Here is a 26,653-nt window from a genome sequence, read left to right as displayed (position 1 = left end):
AGAAGAAATAATTTTTGTTGTATGCCTTGAGATTTTTGTGGTCATTTATCGTAAAGTATATTTGTGTAAAAGTTGAGAGATACAATTTCAATACAGTTTCTATCAGTTTCTTAGTAGTGGGAATGAGGGACTTTTTTTCCCTTTAGGGAACACTTATCAGTACCCATCAAAATTTTTAATATATCCACCTTTGACCTGGCAATTCCAGTTTCAGAAATCTCCCTCAGTGTGATACTTGCACATTTGGTTAGAGATATGTTTTCAAAGAGAAACATTGTACCATTGATTACAATAGCATAGAAGAACATTGAAAACAATCCAGCAAAATGGGAATGGTCAAGTAAACCAAAATGGCTAGTTTTCTAGATCAAAAATGATCTAGATTGTGTATTCACAATTTCAACCTAGTGTGCCCATATAGAATACTATGCAGCCATTAAAACGAATGAGGCAGTTTAACATGTGCAATGCTATGAGAACATGTCCATGTTAAATTGTTAAGAGAGAAAAGGAATTTCTAGAAAGCCTACATCTCATGGTCCAATTTGTGTAACTAATTTAAGTGTGTTTCCTATAAAGGTCTCAAAGGGAGGGTGGTTTAGGGACGCACTTACTTTTTACTCTCGATTTCTGCATTATTGTCCTTGTGGCTTTTTGTACCACTGGAATTAGCTTCTGTGCTTTGTATGTATGATCGACCAAGCCAGTCCCTATGAGTCAGCCTGGGATTGTCTCTAAGCACAACCTCACCTTACATACTTCAAGGATTTTCAGGGCCCTCAGGGGATCCTCAACATCTTGCCCTGGCAGGTGAGGTCTCCTGTGTCTTGGACCCTACAACTATCCCCATCAATTCCTATGTTCTCTACATTCTCATATTGTCTCTTTCTCCAAATCTTTCCCATGCTGTGCCCTCTGCCTGAAATACCCTTCCCTGCCTTGCCCATCTGGAAATCTCCATGAAAATGCAGACAGCACCTTCCATCAGTAGCTTTTCTTAATGTTCCAATCTGTGTTAAGCCCTCTTCAAACTGTTTTAGTATAGTGTATGAGAATGCGTAGTCTGAGGTCTGCTGGCAATTTTTTTAAGGGGGTGAAATTTACATAACATACAATTAACCAATTTAAAGTGTTCGATTCAGTGTCAATTTTTAGCATCTAAATTCCTGAGCCTTGACCCAGACTTACAGCACTGAAAGCTCTGGTGTTGGGTGCAGCAATCTGCATTTTTAATAAAGTTCCCAGATAATTCTTGCACACACCAAAGTTTGATAATCACAGCCCTCGTATCTTGTTCTCCCTATTATAACAGCACATGACTGTTTGTTTTCATGTCTGTTAAACTTATAATTTCTAAACTGTGAGAATCTGCATAAAGATGGAGCAGACATATATAGATAGGTGCACAGATGTGAAATTTATATATATGTATATAAGTAATTATTATTATGACCATACTGAATAAATTGTATTACATCTCAATAAGAAGTTTTACTAACTATATAGCACTATGCAGAAGGAGGGGATGGGAAAAATGCCCCTCCACCCCACCCTGCTGTCAAAGTGAACCAGCAGCCAGCGACGGGTGCCTCAGCCCTTGCTGGAACCTGAGCAATGCTCTCAGCTGGGGATTCGTTCCTTCCTCTTTCTGGCACCAGCTGGTGTTGACTATTGCCAGAAAGAAACAGTCTCCGGCAACCCTGCCACCCTCGCCACAGAAGATCAGAAATGCGTCTTAGGTTCAGGGATGTCTGTTTTCAATGCTTTCCAAAATCCCATGCAGGGATGTTGCCGGGCTGAGTCGGAAGGCCCGGGATGTTGGCAGGTCCGACGTGGCTCCCTGCACATACTCGGTGTGTGGGAACTGTCTCTGATGTTGAGGTTCTGTCTCTGTCTCCGGAGCCTGATCCATCTGGCAGTTCTCCATCCTCAGCCAAGGACCTGCCGCCTTCTGGGAGCCCTCAGGGTGGAAGTAAGAAAAGGAGAAGAGGGTAACAGCTGGGGCTGGGAGCAGGGAGGGCGGTGAGGGCCTCTCTCCAAAAGCCAGTGATTAATCTTGAAACTGGGACGCTTTCATTTTCCTGCAAACTGGAGTACCATGTAGAGAAAATCACAGCACACATGCCATGGGCAGGAGAGCACAGTGGGTATGAGTGTCTGACTCAGCCAGAGCCTGGTTCGAATCCTGACTGTGCCACTTCCAGGCTGTGTTACCCGGGGTAAGTTACCTGCCTTTCCTGAGCCTTTTCTATGCTCTCAGGGTTTCTTTGTAAGGTTTAAATTACATAATATCCATGAAAGGCTTTATGCAGTACTTTCAAAAGCATCCAATCTATACATACTAATTATCTCTGGGAACATGCCTCACTTCTAAAGAATGGCTTTGTTTTACATGATTGTAAAGTGCCTCAAGGCAGGGTGGAAGCTGCTCTGAAATCAGAATTGGAGGCCTGGGCTCCATTTATGTAACTTATTTGGAGACCTGGGGCAAGCTCCTTGAATTCCTTCTTAAAAATGCAAAGAAGAAACCAGTGGGATGAAGAGGATCACAGGCCAGAGCCTTGCAAGCATCAGACCTATTTCCTGTGAAGACCCCTCCTGGCATTATCAGTCCCATTTCTCAGATGCGCACACACACTGAGGCCCAGAGAAGTGAAGTTAGTTGTATGTGGCAGTGTGATGCCAGCAAGAGCTGGGGTTGCAACAATCGTGTCTGACCCCAGTCTCTGGGCCCTTTCTGCCTCCCTTTCTTCAGTCTTTCAATAATAATGATCGCAAAGGCTGGGCACGGTAGCTCACGCCTGTAGTCCCAACACTTTGTGAGGCCGAGGCGGGCAGATCACCTGAGGTCAGAAGTTCAAGACCTGCCTGGCCTACATGGTGAAACCACATCTCTACTAAAAATATTAAAATTAGCCAGGTGTGGTGGCAGGCGCTTGTAATCCCAGCTACTCGGGAGGCTGAGACAGGAGAATCGCTTGAACTCGGGAGGCGGAGGTTGCAGTGAGCTGAGATCGCGCCACTGCGCTCCAGCCTGGGTGACAAGAGTAAGACTTTGTTTCAAAAAAAATCACAAATAATAACTACCCCATATTTAGCACTTTCTCTGCATCGGGCACTACTTAAGGACTTTACACTGTCCACCCCTTTAATTCTCACCCCAAGCTTCTGAGGCAGGCTCTGTAATTCCCCATTTCCCAGATAAGGAAATTCAGGCTCAGCTCCTGAGAGGCAGAGTCAGGACTTGAACCCAGATCTGAGTCTGTGTCCCAAGGAGTTACCCCTCGCCCCCACCCAATTCATCCCCCCGCCTTTTTTTTTCTATCTCCCTTCATGACACGCACAGGTGTTAAAAGCAGCCCCAAACATACAAAATTAAAAAATCGAGGCAAGAAATAGTTGCCTTTCCCATCCTTTCCGCACACAGGAAAGGAAGGAGGAGAAAGCGTCCACAGAGGGAAAAGGTCCAGCTTCTCGTTCTTTGCCATCACACTGACTTTTTAAAAATTTAACCAGCCACCTTTTCTCACTTCCCCAGTCATCCCAGTTACTAACTACGACCAGAAGCTCAGGCCATAAATAAAGCGCACAAATTTCACAGATGCCCCGGGAAACTGGAGCCGGGAAATGGCTCAGCATATGTCTAAATGGTTAATTGACTTAATTGCTGTGAGTTGGGCGATTAGCTCACTTGATCCACCCCGGTGGCCACAAAACGTCCTTAATGGTGTTCAGTTTATTTGTATGTTAAGCTCCAGTTACTATTACGGGGAACTTTTCGATTGCTGATTACCTCGTAAATATATAATTGTAGTCACAGGAAAAAAGAAGCCAGGAGCCGCTCATGAAAGGCTTTTCAAGGAATGGTGCAAAGCACTATTCATTCACCCACTCGGCAATTGTTTATTGGACACCTATTATGTGCAAAGTCCTCTGTGAAGCCTTGGAGATAGAGTAGGGAATACATCAGGCAAAACCCCTGCCTTCGACTGGGCACAGTGGCTCACGTCTGTAATCCTAGCACTTCAGAAGGCAGAGGTGGGTGGATCACCTGAGGTCAGGAGTTCGAGACCAGCCTGGCCAACATGGGGAAACCCCATCTCTACTAAAAATACAAAAATTAGCCAGATGTGGTGGCTCACACCTGTAATCCCAGCTACTCTGGAGGCTGAGGCAGGAGAATCGCTTGAACCCAGGCGGTGGAGATTGCAGTGAGCCAAGATCATGCCACTGCATTACAGCCTGGGCCACAGAGTAACTCCGTCTCAAAAAAAAAAAAAAAAAAAGAAAATCCCTGCCTTCGTGTAAACACTCTGGAGCAAGAGGAGACAGGCAGGAAATAAGTAAATATCTATGTGTACATGAAATAATTTTACATAAGGACTACAAAGAAAATAAAACTGAGTGATGGGATGCAATGAGCCAGAAAGAGTTAGGCTTGGGCTAGGATGGTCAGAGAAGGTCCCTCTGGGGACTGGTATTTGGGCTAGACATGAATGAGAAGTAGGGATTGCCTCTGCAAGAGACGTGGGCACAGTGCTGGAGGTAGGGGGCCAGTGAGTTTGCATGAAGACCCTGAGATGGGAATGACTTTATCCTACCTGAGAAATGGGAGGGAGGCCGACACAGGACAAGAGAATGGAGATGAAGGCAGAGACCAAGCCCTGCAGTATCAGGAGCAAGAAGCTTGGATACATTTTTCTAAGTCCAGTGAAAAGGCATCCTGTGATTCTATTTATGTCTTCAAAGATCACTGTGCTGTTGAATGGAGTGTGGATTATTGGGGTGGGAGGAAGACGGGAAGCTGGGTGGTCAGTTAGAGAGCATCTTCAGCCACCCAGGGGAGAGAGGATGACTTGGACCAGGTTGTAGTGGAGTAGATGCAGAACTGTGGATGCTTGTGGGCATATTCAGGAAGTAGCTGGAAGAAGACTTAGTTTGGAAGACACGAAGACTCCTAGGTTTTCAGCTGAAGCCATTGGGTCAATGGTGATATCATTTAGCAGGATGTTGAGAGATTGGGGAGGAACGGGTAGGCAGGAAGACTCATGTTTTTGAAAAGAACAACTTTGGCCTAGCCCATTTGGAAGGAAAAATGCTGGAGTCAGGGAGGCTGGTGAAGAGAGTATTGCTGATATCCAGATGAGACACAATGGTGGCCTGGGCTGGGACCAGAACCGTGGAATGGCGAGTTATTCCATTAGGATATTTAACCTAACATAGGATGGAGCATCAGGAGCAAATCGACTTTGGTCGAATCCGTGTAGAACAAGACCTGAAAACAGATGCCTCAATTCTGTCATATCCCAAATTATTACCCATACCCCCATCTTAATCCTTCTGAAGTTGGGTGGGGGTGGGTGGGAAGGATGGATCAAAATTAGAATTATATCAAGCAGAAAATAATCTTCAGCCTGGGTTGCACTGATAAAAAAAAAATAGACAGAATTCATAATTACCATATAAAACTGTTTATATTTGTGATTATATGTTACCGCCACCTCCAGGTCCTGGCAGTAAGTGACTTAATTGCTTTAGCCGGGAGCTGGGGCCTGGGGAGCAGGAGGGTTTTGCTGGATGGTGAGATGGCAGAAAACCTCCTGTCTACACTCCTCCCACCAGTTGGATTCTAGATGTTGCTGTGGTTTCTCCATGAGCTTCCGTCAGATGTAGAAACTACTGCCTTTCTGCTGCTCAAGTTGTCAAGAGCCAGAGGTGAGGCTGCCACCAAGAATCTTGGCATTTAATGGGATTAGTTAGGTTTAGGTAGCTGGCTTGCAAAAAAAAAAGGGAGAGGCGAAGATGTTGGTTCCAAGGCAACAGACTTCATAAATTGAGTTTGGTTGAGAAGGCATGTCTTGTGTGTTACACTTGTGTGTTAACTTGTGTGTTACACTTGCATATAATTGTGTGTTACACTTGTCCACCAGTCCCATGAGCCTGGTGGCCCTCAGAAGATCAAACCTTACTAGTTTCCCTACCAGATATCCCCAGTGCCTAGTGCCTGGCACAGAGGAGGTGCCTGTTTGTTTGGGCCCCTCCAGCAGCAGGCCCTAAAACCAGGACTGTAGTACACATGGATGATTCCTGAAGCACCTGTATGGTGGTGGGGAAGTAAGACAGGATGATAAGGGCACCAATATGGGGTACATTGTGAAGGGCATTACCACCATGGGCCACTGGAACCTACTCCTACTGAGGACCTCTGGGAGACAGTGTGAAACTGAGTGAGAGAGGGAGCTGGGGTATTTATACACCAACTTTCATACTGTGGGTTGAAGGCTGCTCCTGAGGGTGGGGATGGAGTATCATTAATTTCCAGGCAGTTCCTTTCCACCATGTTCATAGGCAGTGAAAGCTCCAGTGCCCAGAGAAACCCTTGGGGAAAAAGATACACACATTGGCAGTTGGAGGTTGGGCTGGAATGCCCCAGAAAAATGAAGACAAGAAGGTATGAAAGGGCAGTGATGGCATCTCCCAAAGATCCCAAAAAATCATATTAAATTAAATAGATGAATGGATCAATTGAATAAATGGTGTTTGGGATCCTCCAAGACTCTAGCTCCTGGCCAACTGGACTTTTAAGTCTTGACTCCTAGAGGTTACCACCTTCCAGCCCTCGGGGTGGTCATTCAGCCCACTTTGTGTTTAGGTTTCCCTCTGGTGAAAGTGGTGGTAATTGTATTAACTTTATACAATTGTTAAGAAAATTCAATATGCGATACTGTTTTATTCACTCATTAATGTAACCCATACTTACTGAGTGCCTACTGCACTCTCAGTTCAAGGCTAGGTATAACAGGAAGCAAGATGGGCACCTCCCCATCAGAGTGCACCTGCCCCTGTTGGTCTCAGTACACGTTAGTTTCCTAACCCTTTCTCCAGTGGAAGGGAGCATGGAGGGCAAGGTTGCAGAATGTTGGTAGAATCTAGAGCCTGAACCCCACGCCATTTTAGACAGTTTTATCAGGAACAGAATCAAGACTTAGGAACAACAGTGAGATCTACTAGAATAAGCAGCATTTATTCATTTATTGGCTCTGCATGCCTGTACTGAGGACCGACTCTGTGCCTATCCCTGTACCTTGCTCTTCCACTTCATTTCTTTCTCTTTCCAACTTTTATTTTAGGTTCAGGGGTACATGTGCAGGTTTGTTACATGGGTAAATTGCATGTTGAAGAAGTTTGGCATACAGATTATTTCATGACCCAGGTAATAAGTATAGTATCTGATAATTAGTTTCTCAATCCTCACCCTCCTCCCACTCTCCACCTTCAAAAAGGCCCGGTGTCTATTATTCCCTTCTTTGTGTCCATATATGCTCAATGATTAGTTCGCACTTATAAGAGAGAACATGTATTTGTTTTTCTGTTCCCGTATTAATTCACTTAGAATAATGGCCTCCCAGTTTCATCCACGTTTCTGTAAAGGACGTGATTTTCATTCCTTTTTATGGCTGTGTAGCATTCCAGCTATTCTTCACTTCCCTTCGATCTGTTACTAAGTCCTATCAGTTTTGCCTGCTAAATTGCTTTCAGACCTGCTTGTTCCCTCTGCTTCCTGCTAGAACACTGCCCTAAATCGGGTCTGATCATGTACCCTGGGTTTCTGCAGGATCCTGCTCCCTGGTCTCTAACCTTGTGGCTTCCTTGTTGAAAAGCTTCTACTGTTCTCTATTGCCCTCCAGAGAAAAATCCAGGTTCCTTCTCTCTGGCCCCTGCCTCCTCCACAGTTGTATGCTCAGCCATCCCACCACCCCCAACACATATATATTTTTTAATTTTTAAAATAGCCTTATGGAGATATCATTAACATTCCATAAAATTCATCCATTTAAAGTGCACAGTTCAATAGATTGAGTTTATTCACAGTGTTGTATAGCTATCACCAAAATCCAGTTTTAGACTATTTCACCATCCCAATAAGAAAACCCGACCCATTACTAGTCACCCCCGGTTTACTCCCAGCATTCAGCCCATGACAAATACTCATCTATGTCCTGTTCTTATAGATGTGCCTATTCTGGACATTTCATATAAATAGTGTCATACAATATGTGGCCTTTTGTGACTGGCTTCTTTCACGTAGCATAATTAAGGCTCATTCATGTTGTCACACGTGTCAATACTACATTCCCTCTTATCATTGAATAATATTCCATGATATTCCATATTTTGTTGATCCATTCAGCAATTGATGGACATTCGGGTTGTTGCCATATTTTGGCCATTGTGAATAGTGCCACAATGAACATTTTTGTGCAAATTTTTGTGTGGACATATGTTATTGTTTCTCTTGGATGTATGCTTAGGAGTGGAATTGCTGGGTCACATGGTAACTCTATGGTTGACATCTTGAGGAACTGCCAGAATTCTTTACAAGGGCTGTGCCATTTAATATTCCCACCAGCAATGTATGAAGGTTTCAATTTCTCCGTATCCTTGCCAACAGTTGTTATTGTCTGCCTTTTCGATTATAGCTATCTTAGTAGGCATCAAAGTGCTATCTCCTGGTGCTTTTAATGAGAATTTTCCTAATGCTCAATAATGCTGAGTATCTTTTCATGTCCTTATTGGCCATTTGTACATTTGCTTTGGGGAAATGCCTATTCAAATCCTTTTCTTATGTTTGAATTGGGTTATTTTTGTCTTTTGGTTACTGAGTCTTAAGCATTCTTTATATATTCTAGATACAAATTCCTTATTAGATGTATGATTTGCAAATATTTTCTTCCATTCTGTGGGTTATCTTTTCACTTTCTTTATGATCTTATTTATAGCACAAATGTTTCTAATGTTGATCAAATCTAATTTGTATTTTTTTTTGTCTTTTGTGCTTTTGGTATCATATCTAAGAAACAATTGCCTAACCCAAAGTTATGAACAGTTACTCCTAAATTTTCTTCTAGGAGTTTTATAATTTTAGCTCTTATGTTTAGCTCTATGATCCATTTTGAGTTTTGTTCTTTCTCATATGGATATTCATTTGTCTCTACCACTATTTGTTGAAAGACTATTTTTCCCCCATTAAAGAATCTTGGCATCCTTGTCAGAAATCAGTTACCCAGAGAGGTCTGGTTTATTTCTAGACCCTCAATTTGATTCCACTGATTTATATGTCCGTCCTTATGCCAGCACCATGATATCCATACCCATTCTTGAGTGAGGTCAAATTTTCCCTCCAAATATTACTTATATGCTTGTGTCGATCTCTCAGATTAGACCATAAGTGCTCAAGATGAGTGGTATAGGGCATTCTCTTAGCTGTAAATTATCCAACTTTTTTTATTCTGTGTGATTCTGGGTAGTGTACTTAGCCTCTCTGAGCCTGTGTTTCTCAGAGTTTTATTAGTAAAAAGAATAGTCTCTTCTTCTTCCTTCTCTCCTGTATTAGTCTGTTCTCACACTGCTAATAAATACATACCTGAGACTGGGTAATTTATAAAAGAAAGAGCTCATAGTTCCATATGGCTGGGGAGGCCTCACAATCATGGTGGAAGGTGAAGGAGGAGCAAAGTCACGTCTTACATGGCAGCAGGCAAGAGAGCATGTGCAGGGGAATTTCTCTTCAAAAAACCATCAGATCTCATGAGACTTATTCACTACTATGAGAAAGGCATGGGAAAGACCCATCCCCATGATTCAATTACCTCCCACAACATGTGGGAATTATGGGAGCTATAATTCAAGATGAGATTTATGTGGGGACACAGCCAAACCATATAACTTCCCATCCTTCCTCCTTTCCTACCTTTGAAGATAGAGACTGCCTCATTTACCACTGTACCAGGACAGTGCAGACATAGAGTAAATGCCAGTTGTATGTTAGCTGAATGGATAAGTTGCCCATCTTGCTGAGCAACAAGGAGGACATGGTTTCTGATGTGCCCACACTGCTGTTTCTAAATAAACAATGACTTGGCAGCAACTGAGAAATCAGGTTTACTGTTCATGTCCCTCTTGTTTGCAAGGCATTTAACCATTCTCCCACATGCCTCAGTCTTGGCTGGAGGCTCAGAGCTTCCTGCCTCCTTCCCAGACGGGGGTAGGGGGGTGCCTAGTATATGGAGCAGAAGTTCCCAAACTTTCCCAGTACATGGCACCCTTAGTGTTCAGGAATTATTTCAGCAAAATAAATCCTTAATGGTTCTGCCAGTCCTGCTTATTGGGTCTTCAAGTGCAAACAACGTAATAAGCATTTACATCCTAACAACTTAGCAGCCATTTGAAAAAAATAATACACACAAGTTAATCAAAAAATAATATTGTAAGCACAATCACTTCCTATTGAAATGTGTGCACCGGTTGGGCACTGCATGGCTTCTGAAACCTTGAAATCAGATCGGACTTTGTCACCCTCATTTCCTGTTCCACATTGACTTTGGCATAGTTCTTGCTTTTTATCACAGCAGCCACCAAAAACCCAGGGTCACGAAGATACGACATCATCAAAAGGAATGTTGGGTGATCTAATGCTGGAATTGTGAATGACCTCAAGCTAGTCATTCTCATGGCATTTAACAGATGTCCAATATCGCTGTGTTTACCTTGACAATTTATAATACCTTGCAATGTTCCTGTGAGTCTGCCCAGGCACCCCAGGGTGCCTTGACACACAGTTTGGGAATTGCAATTCAAGAGGAAAGAGCATATGAATTGGCTCTTAGGATCTTCCATTGGATTCTAGCTCTGTAAGTGATTCCTCAGGTGAACTTGGTCCAGTCACTTCCAACCTCTAGGCCTCAGTTTCCCTCCTGCTCTGCAAAACTGGGCCTCTGCCTGCTCCAATATCTTATCATCATCTTCACCATCATCATCTCCCTCATGAGTACAGCCTTTGATAATGAGCGCTTAGTATGTGTCAGACACTGGACTCCACAACTGCTCTGGGCAAGTCATCATTATTGGCCCCACTGTACAGAGGAGAAAACTAAGGTTCCAAAGGGCTCAGTAACCTATGCATCAAAGGCAGAAAGTAGAAAGTTATGCTTTGTCTCTCCGCTAGCTGCCTCTGGAACTCTGGGGATCCAAAACCTCAGTGTGTAGAAAATACTTTCCCCTAACTGAAAGAAGAGCAATCAAGGTGACCTTGCGGCTGAAAGACAAATTGCGTGTTATATATTGACACTCCAGGAGCGCAAACCTGTCCATCAATAGCCTAAGTCCCGGTTGCTGATACCTGTGCTCTCAACTAAAGATCTCAGAGACCTGAGCCTATGAGTGAACAGAAAAATTAAACTCTGTTCAGAACAGAGTTGTTAATAACTGGGTACTAGTATAGGGGTTCATTTTGTGTTTATTTACAAAGACTAAACTTTTTGTTGTTTTCCTTTTATTTTGTTACATTGAAACTCCTTCATATGGTTTACACGACCTGCCCCTTCCACCTTCATCTTTCATCAGAGTCATCAGAGTCTACTCTCACCATACCCGCCCTCCCACTTTTTTTTTTTTTGAGATGGAGTCTTGCTCTGTCGCCCAGGCTGGAGTGCAGTGGCGCAATCTTGGCTCACTGCAGCCTCTGTCCCCCAGGTTCAAGCAATTCTCCTGTTTCAGCCTCCTGGGTAGCTGGGACTACAGGCGCATGCCACCACTTTTGTATTTTTAGTGGAAATGGGGTTTCGCCATGTTGATCAGGCTGGTCTTGAACTCCTGACCTCAGGTGATCCACCCGCCTCGGCCTCCCAAAGTGCTGGGATTACAGGTGTGAGCCACAGCACCCAGCCCCACTTTTTTTTTTTTTTTTTTTTTTTTTGAGACGGAGTCTCGCTCTGTCACCCAGGCTGGAGTGCAGTGGCGCAATCTCGGCTCACTGCAAGTTCTGCCTCCCAGGTTCACGCCATTCTCCTGCCTCAGCCTCCCAAGTAGCTGGGACTACAGGTGCCCGCCACCACGTCTGGCTAATTTTTTTGGTTTTTTTTAGTAGAGACGGGGTTTCACTATGTTAACCAGGATGGTCTCTATCTCCTGACCTCGTGATCTGCCCACCTCGGCTTCCCAAGTGCTGGGATTACAGGCGTGAGCCACTGCACCCGGCCCCCAGCTCCACTTTTTAATGAAGCCAGAGGGACTGATTATGCGCACCTGCCCTGTGCCAGGCACCGATCTAGGCCCAGTGTATGGGGCAAGGAGCAAACAAGATGCAGTGCCTACCCTCTGGGAGTTTGTAGTCTAAGTGAGAGAGAGGGGGACAGAGTGAGAGGGAGGCTTAGCACACAATCTCACAAATAACTGCAGCATTCTAGTTGTGATTCTAGTTGTCTAATTGTGATTCTCATTGTCATAAAGGAGAAACTCAGGTGCTCTGCGGCCCAATCTGTGAAGATTCCCACAGATTCTGCCTTTGCCTTACCACACTGAGTTGTAGTTATCTTTTCCATTAGGCAATTACATGTTAGTCCTGATTGTCATTGTACCCCTAACACAGGGCCTGGCACATAATAGGTGCTCAATGTGAACATGCCTCAAGTAAGTAGACACTCAGTGTAGAGACAAAACAAAGCAGAAAAAGAAAAACAATTGCAATTTCCCTCTCTGTCTCTCTTTCTCTCTCTGTCTCTCTTTCTCTCTCTCTCTTTCCCTCCCTCCCTCACACACACTCACACACATGACTGTGAGACATCACTTTCCTACATTTATCATTTGTACTTGCCTGTTTTGTTTCTCTTTTGAAGAACTATTTCATGCCATACTTCCTATTGTGATACCTTTCATGCAGCCTTCTGTCCTAGGCATTCCCCCATAGAATATGTTTAATCTTGTGTGCCAGTTCCCAACCACTGATAGCACCTGCCTGGAGTGCTTGACTGAAAAAGATGCAAGAGGAAGTCAGGCTGTGATTGATTCGTGATGTCTGCCTAGAGCAGGGAAGTAGGGCATTTCAGGATGGGAATCTGCTTTTGTGGACTAGACTAAGAGCTTCACTGTCAGAACCCTGTGCAGTTGCAGCCACTGGGAGGCTGGAGCGAGAGATGGAAACTCCTTCTCTGATGGTTTGGCACAAAATCCTGCTACATCAGCTGGTGACAAGTGGCATAATCAATGCCTCCCTCTCTCAGGAAGTCTGCGTGTGAGATGCACACTGAGACGTGGTCACCACAGCTATTGCAACATCCCAGTGGGATGAGTCACTGATTCAGTCCCCTGAAAACACATAGCACATTCTAGACTTGGAAGAGCTGGGGCAGAGAGAGAAACAACAGCTTCTTTGTCTGGTTCTCTCAGAAGCCAACTCTGAGGCAAGGATTCCTAGGAAAGACTATCTTAAGAGTGAGAGGTGGAATTTTATTATCTATGGTGAGTAAGTAGAGTTTTGTCCTGCTGGGAGCCTCCAGAAGGCAGTGTGACCCACCTTGGTGTTCTCTCACCTGAGAGTCCAGGGGCTAGGGTGTTTACCCACCTCACCGTCCTCTTGGTTGAGGACTGCTTTCAGGGGCAATAACACTGCTGCTTCCAACCTGCCCTCTGCACAGAAGAGTAGGCTCCCAAGGCCAGAACAACATCTAGAAGCAGGGAGTCACAGGTGTGCACAGTAAGCAGGCTTGAGTATGAGAGTGGACAGAATATGGGCGAGATGCTTACGGTTTCAGTTCACGATGCCTCATCACACTTTACTGCAAGTTCTTACAGTAAACCCTCTGCAGCAAAGACAACTGTTTTCTGTAAAGGGCCAGAGGATCAATACTTTGTCTTTTGTGGGAAATATGGTCTTTGTCAAAGCTATTCATCCTATACCCATATAGTGCAAAAGCAGCCATAGACAATATGTAAAGAAATGGGTGTGACTGTGTTTCGATAAAACTTTATTTACAAAAACAAGCTCTGGGCCAGACATAGCTGGACATGTCTAAACCCTAATCTAAGCCTGGGATTATATTTGCTTAAAACTTGGGTGCCAGCTCTTATCAGCTGACCGTGACTTCCAGGAGGAAGGAATCTTCCTAGTGACTGAGTCCTGTCTTCTTCCTTCAATGAGAAAGACAGCTGTGATTGATTAGTGATGTCTGCCTTGGCCCAGGATGGGAGACAACAGTACCTATACTGCACATTGTACATCCCTGACCTCAGGAAACCTCAGCAGTCAGAAGGAGTTCAAGCAATGTGGTACAAAAAGCCTCTATTATTATTTGGGAGATAGAGGGAGGGGTCATCTGGGAAGCCTGGCCTCTTTCCAAACACACTCTAACACTGTGGAAACCTGTGTCTTTGCAGGGACTGCTCTATTTGCTCCCTTGACTGTGAGTGATTTAAAGGTAAAAATTGCTTTTTTTTTTTTTTTTTGGTTGTTCTTTCTCTCTTCAGGTCTAACCCAAGGGCTGGCACAATGTTTAGTGAATGTCTCTTGTATGAATGAATGAATAGATGAAAGAATTTGAGATTGACAGGGGCAATTAACATTTCCTGAAGGCTCATTCTGTGCTGGGTTAAGACAGCTCATATATTTTATCACACCTCCAAGATAAGTATCATATGAAGCAAGTATCATAAAGTCAATTTTTCCGGCTAACTGCCCTTTTATTTCACTTTACTATTTTTTAGATACTGGGTCTTGCTCCTTCACCCAAACTGGAGTGCAGTGGCACGATCGATCACAGCTCACCGCAGCCTTGAACTCCTAGGGCTGACACCATCCTCCCGCCTGAGCCTCCTGAGTGGCTGGAACTACAGGAGTGCACCACCATGCACCTAATTGGTATTTTAAATGATAACAACCACACGAATAATATTAACAATAATGATGATGGTGATAATGACAGCTGCCACTTATATCCATGGGCCAAGCATTGTGCCACGCATTTTGCTTACATCTTCACACAAAATCTACCAGGGAGGGAGTGTCTTTAACTGTCATTTTACAGATGGGGAAACTGAGGCTCTTATGGGGAAGCCACTGGCCTGAGGTCAAGCACTGGAATGTGACTGAGCCAAAATGTGGCAGCAGATCTGACTATCGGCCTTTGTGGTTCACGATTATTGCCTCCATTACAGTGCTGCCTGTGTGCTGGTTCTCGCATGACAGGGAGGGTTGTGAGTAGACAGAGGGGTTGCAGCAGGACTGGCCCCTACCGTGTCAAAAGGGACAGGTCACAGGCTGAGCAGGATGGGGCGGCAGGGGCAGGCTGCCTCCCCACACGCAGAGGTCCCACCCCAGCTCCCTACCAGCAGCAGACTGGGAGCCCTAGTGTGCCCAGCGCCCCCATGATTGGCAGCCTGCAGATGGCAGGGGTGCCTTGGAATTTATTATCCAAGCATGCCTTTCCGAGGGGGCCTCACTGCCTGACACTGCTTTATCGGAAAGCTGGGAATGGTTAGCTGAGCCCATCTGTTAGCCAAAGAGGGGAACTCAGTGGGTGGGGAAGTCTGTGGAGTCATTTAAAAGGAATTTCTCTGATGCTGAGGCCAGGGCAGAAGGTTATCTGCCCGTGGGCCGTTGGGCTGCCTGGTTTGGGGTATTGGGGGCTTGGGGGTGGTGTGTGTGTGTTTGGTGGGGGACTCTCGTTGCTTGTTCTAAACCAAAAATTGCTAGAGCCCTTCCCCCTTCTGAACAACAATTTGAACTCTGCAGTGCTCTTTCATTGCTGAAACCACCACATTAGCATCGTCAGTGTCTTGGTGACGAATCTAGGACAGATGGGGATAAATGCAGTGATCTGAATTAATACTGGGGTGGCTAATGAATCCAGGAGCCAGGAAATAATTAGGAGAAGTTACTGCTCCTGACATGGCAAATAGAAGCTGTGTGTTAGATGCCTTCTTCTCTCTCCCCTCCCACCAACCAAGATGCCCCGGAAGACAGCTGTGCAGCCACCTGGGGTGGGGGACACTTGGATGTCAGGACTTGATCTTGGGTGAGGATTCTGGGACATTTATGACAGAGGCTGGTGAACAGCAGGTGGAGACAGGAGAATGGCGGTTCTTCCATTGTATATCAAAGGTTCTTCTGTGCTTGGAAAAAGCACTGGACTGGGAGCCCAGAGGCCTGGGTTCAAGTGCAGGCTCCTACTGGATCATCCTAAGGCATGTGGTTCCCTCCTCCAATGCTCAATGAAAGTAGAGCATGATCGAGGGTAGCATGCACTGTTTGCTGCCCAGGGGCAGGCCCATGCTAAATGATTTGCATAGGGCTCTCATTTAATCTTCCCCCACAGCTCTAGTACTCTGTTTGTTCTCACTCTACCAAGTCCAATTGTTTCAATAGCTCATTCAAGGGCATGCAGTTGATAGCAGAGCTGGATTCAAACCCAGAAATCAACTCAAAGGTCTGAGCCCTTGACCATACCATGTCACTGCCTTTTGCCACCAAGAGCCAGATAATCATTGATGTTTCTTCCAACACTGACATATTTTTAGGCCTTCATGATTCTTGTAGATATCTTGTAGATATCTGCTTTGCAATATGGGGAGTGAAAGGGAGTTGAGCTATGCTTTTGTAATTGGGTGTCTGAAAAGGCTGGGCCCCTATTATATATGATCATACGCTTTATTCTTCCTTTCTAAAACTTAGCATGTTTGCAATTGAATAATTAAGTGTTTATTGTTTAATGGTTATCTACCCTGCTAGACTGAGGCTCCAAAAAGATCTCATCTATTTTGCTCACTGTTATGTCCCCAGTGCAGAGAAGAGTGGATGATATGTTGTGTTCGAATTGATATCATTTGACTGTGTCCCCACACAAATCTCATCTTGAATTGTAGCTCCCACAATTCCCATGTGACATAGGAGGGACCCGGTGGGAGATAATAGAATCATGGGGGTGGTTTCCCCCATACTGTTCTCATGGTAGTGAATAAGTCTCATGAGAGCTGATGGTTTTATAAGGGGTTTTCCCTTTCACTTGGCTCTCACTCTTTCTTGCCTGCCACCATGTAAAACGTGCCTTTTGCCTTTTTCCATGATTATGAGGCCTCCCCAGCCACATGGAACTGAGAGTCCATTAAACTCCTTTTTCTTTATAAATTACCCAGTCTCAGGCATGTCTTTATCTGCAGCATGAAAATGGACTAATACATGATTGAATGAATGGATAAATGAATGAGTAAGTGAAGTAATTTGTGAATATATTAGTGAGTGAGTGAAGGAACATGTGAATAATTGGGTGAGTGAATGATTGAGTGAAGTTTGGAGTAAATGAAGGAATAAATGAGTGAATGAGTGACTGAGTGAGTGAATGAATGAATGCATGAATGAATGAGTGATTGAATGAACAAATGAGTGAGTGAGTTAATGAATGAGTGAAGCCGGGAGACCAGGCTGAACTCTGATGAACAGAAGCCCCTCAGCGATGCTACCTTGTGGCCGCCATTTCATCTGGCCTGCGCTGCTGCTTCCTGGGCAAGGAAGGGTGCAGGGAGCAGGCCCAGCGTGCAGTGTCTTTGAAAGGGCAGTGGGCACTGACAGGGGCTTCTCTGGCGCGGGGCTGAGGGGCCTTGTCCAAGGCTGACTCGGGCCCCCGCCTTCCCCCTCTGGGAGCGATGCTCGCTAGAGCTGCTTCACATGGACACGCTTGAATAGCAGCCAGGGCTGTCTGGGCATCACGTGACTACCCGGCTGCCAAGGGAGCTCGAGGCAGCCAGGGTGGGGGCGGGGGGGGGGTGTCGGGGGTCACCTCCGCAGTTAAGTAATGTACCTGGCGGAGACTATGCTTGTGGAGAACAGTTCAAGGAACAAAGCGTTCTTCATTTTTCTTTTCTTCCTTTTTTCTTGATTCTTCTTTCTTGGCAGTCTGGATTCAGAATGTTTTCATGCCGGGTGGCCAAGGTGAGGGAGCGTTTTCAGGCGAGGAAGGGCAAGTTTGTTTTTTGATCTGCAGGGCTGGGTGTGCCGTCTCATGGCTGAGAGCTGAAAGGCTAGACCAGAGTTCCCCAGTTCAAATTGCAGCTTCTGATCCTGGCACTGAGGATGACCTTGAGCTACTTAATCAAGTCTTGGGAGCTTCACTTTCCTTATCTGTTAAGAGAAAGGGATCATAGTATCTAGCCCAAGAGATTAGTTTGAGGATTCAAAGAGACAATGGGTGTAAAAGACTCAGCACATTGAGTTCAGTTAATGCAGTGAATATTAACAACGACAACAACAATAATATTATTAATTGCGGGAACAGAAAACTAGTCCTGAGGTTTCTTTGTGCCAGAGGTGGATACAAATTAGTTAGGAGAGCAAGCATTTTTGCCACTAGATTTCCAGACATGAGGGCAAAGAGAAACTAGTTGAGGGAGACCCCCCCCCCGTGGAGTCTTTGCAATTTTCCATCAATTGTCTGAGCCTAAAATGTTCCTAGAGTTCATAGGGTCTAAGTACCTGGAGATGCTGAGGCCCAGAGAGGGAAGGGACTTACCCCAGGTCACACAGTAGCAGATGGTTAGAGCCCAGACGTTCTTATCATGCTTGAATTAATCATTGTGGTCTAGCTTTTCTAACACAACAGCAGACTATGCCCCCAGCAAGGATGAGTCACTGATTGGCTGTGCTCAAGCCTGACCTGGGCTCAGAGCCAAGCCTGATGGAGATGAGGGATACTGGTGTGAACACTTCCTTCTGCCTACCCAGCATGTCACTTTCCCAAAGCAGGTAACTACCCATTCAGGTGTTCTGGTCCTCGTTCCTGCAAGGGTGAGTACTGGCATTTTGGCCTGCAGTTTAGAAGTGAGTGTCCCAAAGGTGAACTGATGAACCCAGGATCATACGACTCATAAGTGTGTGGACAGATGGGTGGATGGAGCTGGGTTAATTGAATGCCACTTTGTCCCAGACATATTGAGGCACATCATAAAAGTGCCACCAGCCAGAAAGACCATTCTCTAACCCAGAGACCTCTGAGAACTCATATTTTGACATTTGGCTTTATCTAACATTGAGTTGCATCATGACCTTAAGCAAGTTACTTCTGCTTTTTGGGCCTCAGTGTCCTCATCTGTCAAATGGAAGTACCATAGCATCTACCTCTCTGGGGATGATTGTGCAGACTGAGTCTGTTAATGTAAAGTTCTTTGAATAGAGTCTGATGTGCATTAACTGCTCAGTAAATGTTGGCTGCCAACTAACCCAGAGGTCACGGTTCCTGGAAAGGTGGCAAGACAGCACCCTGCAGAGGGCTGGGGCTTTGGAAGGTAAGGTACATGACCCTCAGCTGTGGACTCCCTATGTGTGTGACCATTCTCTGTTACGAGGCATGCATGGAGGCACACAGCGAACATGCACTATGCCTTCATCCAAAGGAGAAAACAAGTCAGAAGCTTCTAAGAATTTTGGTTCCATGCCCAGTAAGAAGGGCCTGTGCTGTGCCAAGCTCCCAGGCTTGGGATCATGAGCACATGCCAGCCCTTCTCTTTTTGGGTCCACTTGAAAATGATCAGAGCTGTCTGAGGGACTCTTGCAGAAACGGAGGCCAACTCCTTGCCTGTCAAGGGAAGCCTTGGGAAAAGAGGGATCCTTTCCATCTCTCTGCGCCCAGAAGAAGCATGGGTTCTGGTAGGAAGGACAGATGTACTTGATTGGAATCCCATCTCAGACACTGACCAGCTGTGTGACCTCAGGAAAGTCACTTTCCCTCCCTGACCCGCAGTTTTTGCATCTGTACAATGGGGTTACTTTGAGAATTTAGTAAGAAAGTCTTTGTGGGAGTGGGCCCCACTTTGCTTGTGGCAGAAACCTTAATGCCAAGCACAAGCTTAACCCATAAAGGGCATTTAACAAGAATGTGGCAAATGGGTGATGATCAACAGCTGAACAGGAGCCAGGGGGTATTCTAAACATTTCCTGACATCAGTTCATTTAGTTCTCACAGTGAGAGAGACTATAATGACCCCTATTTCACAAGTGAGCAAACTGAGGCTTGGGGAAAAAAGCTGAATCCCACGTCCAAGGTCACTTAGCTAGTAAGTGACAGAGCCAGGATTTGAACCCAGGCAATTTGAAACTAGAGCTTAAGCTTATAGCCACTAGGATGCAGCAGATGCAGAAAGAAGATAGAAAAGAGATGCAAAACGGACATCACCTAGACTAGCATATACATGGAATGATCAATAAGTATCTGTAAAATCAATGCATTAATTAAAAGCAAAAAAAGCACACAACAATTGCTTTATTTTCCCACTCTGCAGGGTCTCAGAGATACAGAATTGCACAGAGAGAGTCCCAGTCCACAGAGAAGGTGAAAACATAAATGATCTCGAGTGTTGCTGACTCTCACATCCAACAGAGCATCCAACAGAGGCTCACACAGGTGGCCATCTGACCAAAGCCAGCCCTCTGTAAGTTGACTTAGCCTATGTAGCATTTTAAAAAATATCTTCATTGGTCTCTGAAATTTAAAAGTTGAGATATTTCACATTAAAAAAAAAAAACAAAAAAAAACACAAGATTGCTGGTGTAGAAGAGAAAAGTGTCCTTCATTTTGCCATGTGCTGGCCTCACTTTTTATTGTACATTTCTGGCCAGTCTCCTGGGGGGCACTTGAGTTTGCAACTCCCATGTGTACAGGGCTCTGGGGTTCGGGAGGGAGAAACATAAGCATGTAGGCCAAAGACTCAGTGAAAGCCCCAGTTTTGGGAGGATTTTCTGGTCTTGCTTGGAGAAAGATGACTCACGAGGCCAGCATGTGTCTCTTGCCGAGCCAGGTTTCCTTTCCTACTTTGTTTTTATAAAGCAGAAATAGAAGTTTCCATAACGTGGTGCAACTCCACCCAGCAGGCCTTGGGAAGCCGCTGCTATCTGTGAGCGTCCAAGGGAGAGCTTTGGTTGGGAGCCTGCTATTGCTCATGGAGCTGTGAGCACAGCGGGACAGCATGTGCTCGTCTCCACTGTTGGCTCTGCCTGAAGATGGGGACTCCGTACTGCGTTCCTCCTTGGGTGAGACTGTCAAAGAGCTGGGTCCCTCAGGCCACAAAAGAGTGGGGTAGGAGAATCAGAGACTTAGTCCAGGTTCTACAACTAACCAATCCATCTATTTATCATCCATCCATCCATCCATCCATCCATCATCCATCCATACATCATACATCCATCTATCCATCCATCCATCTATCCATCCATCCATTCATCCATCCATCCATCCATCCATCCATCCATCCATCCTTTTATCCATCCATCCATCCATCCATCCATCCATCCATCCTTTTATCCATCCATCTAAGGACTGTTTATTGAGCACCTACCATGTTTCAGACACCCCATGCTATACTTTGAAGAGACAGAAATAAAATAGACACAGACTGCACTATCCTCATAAAGTCTACAGTCAGGTGGGAAAGGCAGATATCAAAAATGTAGTAATAGATGAAGATTTGGGAGCAACCAAAACGTCCATTGATAGATTGGTTAAATGCAATTTGGCTTATTCTAGCATGAGATACCATGTGGCCCTTAAATGAAGCAGATCCCTATATGGTGACAGAACAACACCTAAGTGACAAAAGTGAAGGCACAGGCAATGACTGCACTTCATGTCCATTTCTACAAAACAAGAGCCTTGGATAGGCTTTGATATATTGGTTCTTGTAGAGAAGGTCTCTGGAAGGATCTGCAGGAAATTGGGAAAAGTTGGTGTCTAGTGAGAAAGCTGGGGTACTAGGGTTCAAAGAGGTGAGAGAGTTTTTGTGCTGCTTGAATGTTTTATTTTGAATGTTTTATTTTTTGAATGTGTAATGTTTTGTCAATAATATGGCAAGGAAATTTTAGAGATGTTGGTCAAAGAATACAAAATTTCAGTTAGACAGGAGGAATAAATTCGAGGCATCTGTTGTACAGCATGGGTGACTATAGTTAATGACAATATATTGTGTACTTGAAAATTGCTAAGAAAATAGATTTGAAGTGTTCTCACTACAAATAAATGTTAAGTATGTGCAGTAATACATATGCTAATTAGCTTGGTATGGCCATTCCATAGGGTATACGTATTTCAAAATACCGTGCTATATACCATAAATGTGTATAATTTTTATTTGTCAAATAAAAAATAAGAAGATAAAGGTAGATAGATGAGAGAGAGAGAAAGAAGGAGAATAGAGAAAGATAGATATAAAGTATAAAGTGTGAGGATAAAAGAAAAAGAAAAAGCCTTTACGAGAAGTTGGGAGAGTGTTTTAAAAAGGAAATCCAGGGTGTCTTAGACATTCAGAGGAAGCTTCCCTAAAAACGCATTATTCCAGGCACTGGGAGGAGCAATAGGACCTTAGCCCCTTCCCTCCCCTTTGTGGACCTAAAGCGTTACATCTGTAAAATGGAAAGAAGGCACCTCCCAGCCCAAGACCTCAGAAACTCTAGGAAGCAGAGTTCAAATCCAGGCTGCCTTCACCACCTCACCCCAGGGCAAACTGCTTCCCCAGGGCTCCCTCTACCTTTTCCCCTCCTGTTTCCCCTTCCTGATTTGGTAGACAGACCTGATCAACACTGTGATGATCAAGAAAAAAGAAAGAAAGACAATTTGATGTATACCAAAGCTCATGGACATTAAACTCCTAAGATATGCTATGTATCTCTCTGGGGGAGGGTGAGCACCTGCACCTTTATCTCCATAACCACCAAATGAATTATGGAGGCCAAAAAGGTGAACCTATCTGTGTGGATGGCTGCCAGCTGCTGTGTTATACTAGTGTGTTATAATAATAGTAGTGGATATTTCATGAGTGCTAACTCTGCACCAAGTACTTAGCCTGTAAGATCTCACTCATTCTAAAGGCAAGTCTAGGAGAGAGGCTATTGAACCCTATGTTGAGATGAAGTATCTGGGGCTCAGAGAAATTGAGTTACTTATTCAAGTTTGCACAGCTACTAAGTGCTGCAGTGAGAACCTGAAACCAGGTTATTTTGACCCCACTTTTTGTTCTCTTAACCACCAACCTACTTTGCTGCCCATCACACAGGGAGCTCTACCTCCCCATTCATCCAGGCCAGCGAAGGCTTCCTGGAAGAAGTGTCATTTAGGTTGTGACTGGGAGAACCAGAAGGCTTTCAGTCTTCACTGTAAGAAAGATTAGCCATTTTCCACAAGGAGGTTTTCTTCAAAATAAAAGGCCCTGGAGACATTAAAAGGAAACTCATAAAAAATTCATCTCTGAGTAGTAATTGCATCATAAAAAGTATTGAGTTGGTGTGCAGATGCAAATTGGGCCGTATGAATTAATGATGTAAACAGTTGGAATGAGGGTGCACATTCAGAAAATGTCCTACACCGTCTTCTTCAGTGTGTGAGGCGAAGTTGGGCCAGGTGGCACTGTGCCCTGAGGTTTAAGGGACATTTTTGGACTGCCGATGACCATGTTTTCAGATCTCCAAATCCTGCTCAGTGTTACTTCTATAGAACCTCCTGGATACATGGCTAGGCTCACAGTTTTCTCTAAATCCACACTCTCTGAGCACCTACTGTGTGCTGGAGCTGTTCTGAGGATGGTGCCCTGCCACCCCTCCATCCTCCCTGCCCCCTCCCTGCTCACCTCATGTGAATTTACTGATCCCAGGAGAATGAAGATGGATGTTCATGAACTTGCATGTCCACATTTTTTATGCATGCCTTTCTTGGTTTGTTGGCTGAAACATTCAACAAACATATTGAGCACCTACTACGTGCTGGGCGGGGCCTGACCTCAGCTCTCAGAGCTGGTCTTGGGGCAACAGGGAAAACACCCAAGTTGGGAGGAGGCCGAGAGTGACTTGTTGGTGGAGAGGACTCTAAGGTGAGACTCCAGAGATGGGGAGTGGGCCAGGCACAGATAGTGGTGGGGAGCAGCTCCACATAGAGGCAACCTGGACACTTATGAAACCGTGAAATGAAAGTGGAAGCTGAAATTGATGGAGATGAGCCTGGGGATGTAGAACACTCTGGAGGATCTTGTGCATCTGCCTAAGGACCTGGGGCATGGCCCTAACTTGGAGGAAAAGCAGCTTTTACTTTTCCCCCAAAGTCTGATTCTTTGTCGTGCAAGAGGTGGAAGCTGCAGTATGTTGATCTCATCGAAGTCCAGAGGAGGATCCACATAACATTTCTGCAATTTTTAAACCGGGTTCCATGGAACCCTGAGGCTCTGTGCCCATGTTTTCTGTAGCTCCATGGTGGGAAGTAGGTAAGAGAAGATTCAAGTGGGAAATATTCTGGAATCTCCCTCTGCTTTAACCAGATCAGCTCCACTTTTTTTTTTTTTTTTTTTTTTTTTTTGAGGTAGAGTCTCTCTCTGTTACCCAGGTTGGAGTGCAGTGGTGCGATCGTGGCTCACTGCAACCTCCGCCTCCCAGGTTCAAGCGATTCTTCTGCCTCAGCCTCTCAAGTAGCTGGGACTACAGGTGTGCCACCATGCCTGGCTAATTTTAGTATCAGCTCCACTTTTATCTCTGTTTTTTGCAGTTTGGAATTCCACATAAGATTTCATGTGAAAAGGGGTTCCATTGCTTAAGTAAGAACAACTCTACTTAATGCAAAGTAAAGCCCAAATTCTTTAACCCAAGGTCTTGGGTTTGGGTAATCCAGATCATACTCATTTCTCCAGATATAGAAAAACCTCTTCCCACTCCCTGCTCATCACTGCTCTGCATGCCAGCCGCCAGCCACACAAATACTCCTAAGGCCACAGACACTCTGCTCCTCCACGCCTCCATCCCTTTTCCAGGCTGACTCCCAGTGCTTCCTCCTGCAGGAAGCCCTCTCTGACCCCCTCAAGTCCTCAAGTGTCTCCAACGTTCCAACACACCTTGGGTTCTCCCTAAGAACTCTGACCCACCAAGAATGCGGTCCTCTTTCTGCTGATCCATCTCCTCTCCCATCACACTGTGAAACCCATGAGGGCAGGACCTGGTACCTGGTTATCACTAGCACCCAGTACCAGCCCAGGGATGGGGCAGTGCCCGAGAAATGTGTGCTGGGCAAATGAGTGCTAGGAAAGAAGAGAGAAAGAATGGGTGTGGAAATGTGTGAATAAATAAGTTAACAGGTGGTTGGATGGATGGATGGATGGATGGATGGATGGATGGATGGATGGAGAGAGGCAGGGGAAGGAAGATGGGTTGGTGGGTGGATGGGTGGGTGACAGATGAATAAACAGAAGGAAAGGAGGAAGGAGGAAAGAAAGAAAAGAGGGAGGAAAGGAGGTAAGGAAGGAAACAAGGAAGGAAGGGAGAGAGGGAGAGATGGAGGGAGGAAAGAAAGGAGGAAAGGAGAGTATGCACATACATACAGCTGGAGGAACCCCTGGTTCCACTTTCTCTGAGGTCCCCCAAGGTCTCAGCCTTCCCTGAGGCTTCTCTGCCCTAACTCCCCCTCCCTTTCTCTTTCCTCCATCACAAAGCCAGCCCCTGACATGCCCTCACCCCGCACAGTGATTACTCCTTGAGCAGCCTCCCGTATCCTGTTCCTGCTCTTCCTACAAGCAGAGAAGCAGAAAAATCCATCCTGATGAGGAGGCAGCCGCCCGCCTGCCCTCGCGCCTCCTCCCCCCGCCCCTGCAGCCTGTAACTCTCGAGCAGTCAGGCAGAAACAGACAGTCAATTTTTTCCAGGGTCGAGCGCCGGCTGTAAGGCACAGCCCTGCGGGGTGACAGGCGCGGCAAGGCAGGGGCCGCAGGAATGTGGCGCTGCGGTTTCTCCTCCATCCTCCTGCCTCACTCGCCCAGATGCTGCCAGCTGTATCATTCAGGGGACATAGCACACCACCACTACCAGCACACAAAGGGCTCACCTAAGACCTTAGCCCCATTAAACACTGGCAGGGCGGAATTGTCTGCTGCCATCCATCACACCTTCTCCCCTAGCCTGGTTTCTTACCTACCTGGAAGCCGTCCCTTTTCACCCTTGCCTGCCCTTGTTGGCTGCATGGCAGGCTCCCTGGCAGAGGAAAAGGCAACTGATGTGCTTGTCCCCAGCCAGGTGTCAAGTGGCTCTTTGCTGGGTGCTCTGGTGCATTGCCCGGATATCACCCCAGCTACTGGGAGTGCTGACAGCTCCCAGCTGAGCCCTGATCCCGGCAGGTGACCGCCCTCAGCTGGAAAGAGCTGCCTTGACCAAGGTCAAACCTCCTTCTGGTGACTAGTCGATGCAGGGGGCACACCGTCCCAACCTCCTTACCTTTAGGCAGGATGACTTTGAAGAGCATTCTCGGCCCCAAAGCTGCCCCAGCTTGATCAGCTGAGACCCCTGTTGAGCCTGAATCACACCCCAACTGCTTCTTCTGCCCCATCCTGCTTATTTCTCTTCCCCTACAGGTGTTGATACTGAGTGCCCCCCACTGTACCCCCATAAGCCCCTGCATACAAGCAGGGGAACCAACCTGCACCAGCCTCTTTTGCATTCGCTTATTTAATCGCCATGGCAACTCTGCATAGCATGTTCTTTGTTTCCCGTGTCAGGAACCCAGGGCTCAGAGGGCTGATGTGGCTTGTCCCAGGTCACGCCGAGTGTGCCAGAGCTGAGGTTCCACACCAGCCTACCTGACTTCCAGTAGGTCGAGACTGCGATGCCCTCAACGTCTGCCCCTCAGGAGCCTCTCACATGGAGATCTGCCATGCATCCCTGACTCTGGGAAGCCCCTGAGACAAGGCCTCCTTGCCTCCCCCAGTGGAGGCAGCCCAGGTGGAGACGCATGGCATCTGTCCCAGATCAGGCGTCTCTGCCAGGTCTCCAGACTACAGGGTCTCCTCACACTGCCTCTCTCGCCTTTGTCTCTGGATC

At 45.8% G+C, this 26,653-nt stretch overlaps 2 annotated features.

Annotated features, from left to right (window-relative positions):
* Positions 14,419 to 15,377: an enhancer, noted in NCBI's record as "H3K27ac-H3K4me1 hESC enhancer chr22:27507047-27508005 (GRCh37/hg19 assembly coordinates)". NCBI's record gives its function as "activates a minimal SCP1, AML or CMV promoter by ChIP-STARR-seq in primed H9 embryonic stem cells {active_cell/tissue: H9 hESC(primed)}" and the evidence as "EXISTENCE:reporter gene assay evidence [ECO:0000049][PMID:30033119]".
* Positions 25,504 to 26,045: an enhancer, noted in NCBI's record as "H3K4me1 hESC enhancer chr22:27496379-27496920 (GRCh37/hg19 assembly coordinates)". NCBI's record gives its function as "activates a minimal SCP1, AML or CMV promoter by ChIP-STARR-seq in primed H9 embryonic stem cells {active_cell/tissue: H9 hESC(primed)}" and the evidence as "EXISTENCE:reporter gene assay evidence [ECO:0000049][PMID:30033119]".

The sequence above is a fragment of the Homo sapiens genome, chromosome 22, assembly GCF_000001405.40.
Source record: "Homo sapiens chromosome 22, GRCh38.p14 Primary Assembly".
NCBI lineage: Eukaryota > Metazoa > Chordata > Mammalia > Primates > Hominidae > Homo > Homo sapiens.
This window is presented reverse-complemented; position numbering and strand designations above follow the sequence as displayed.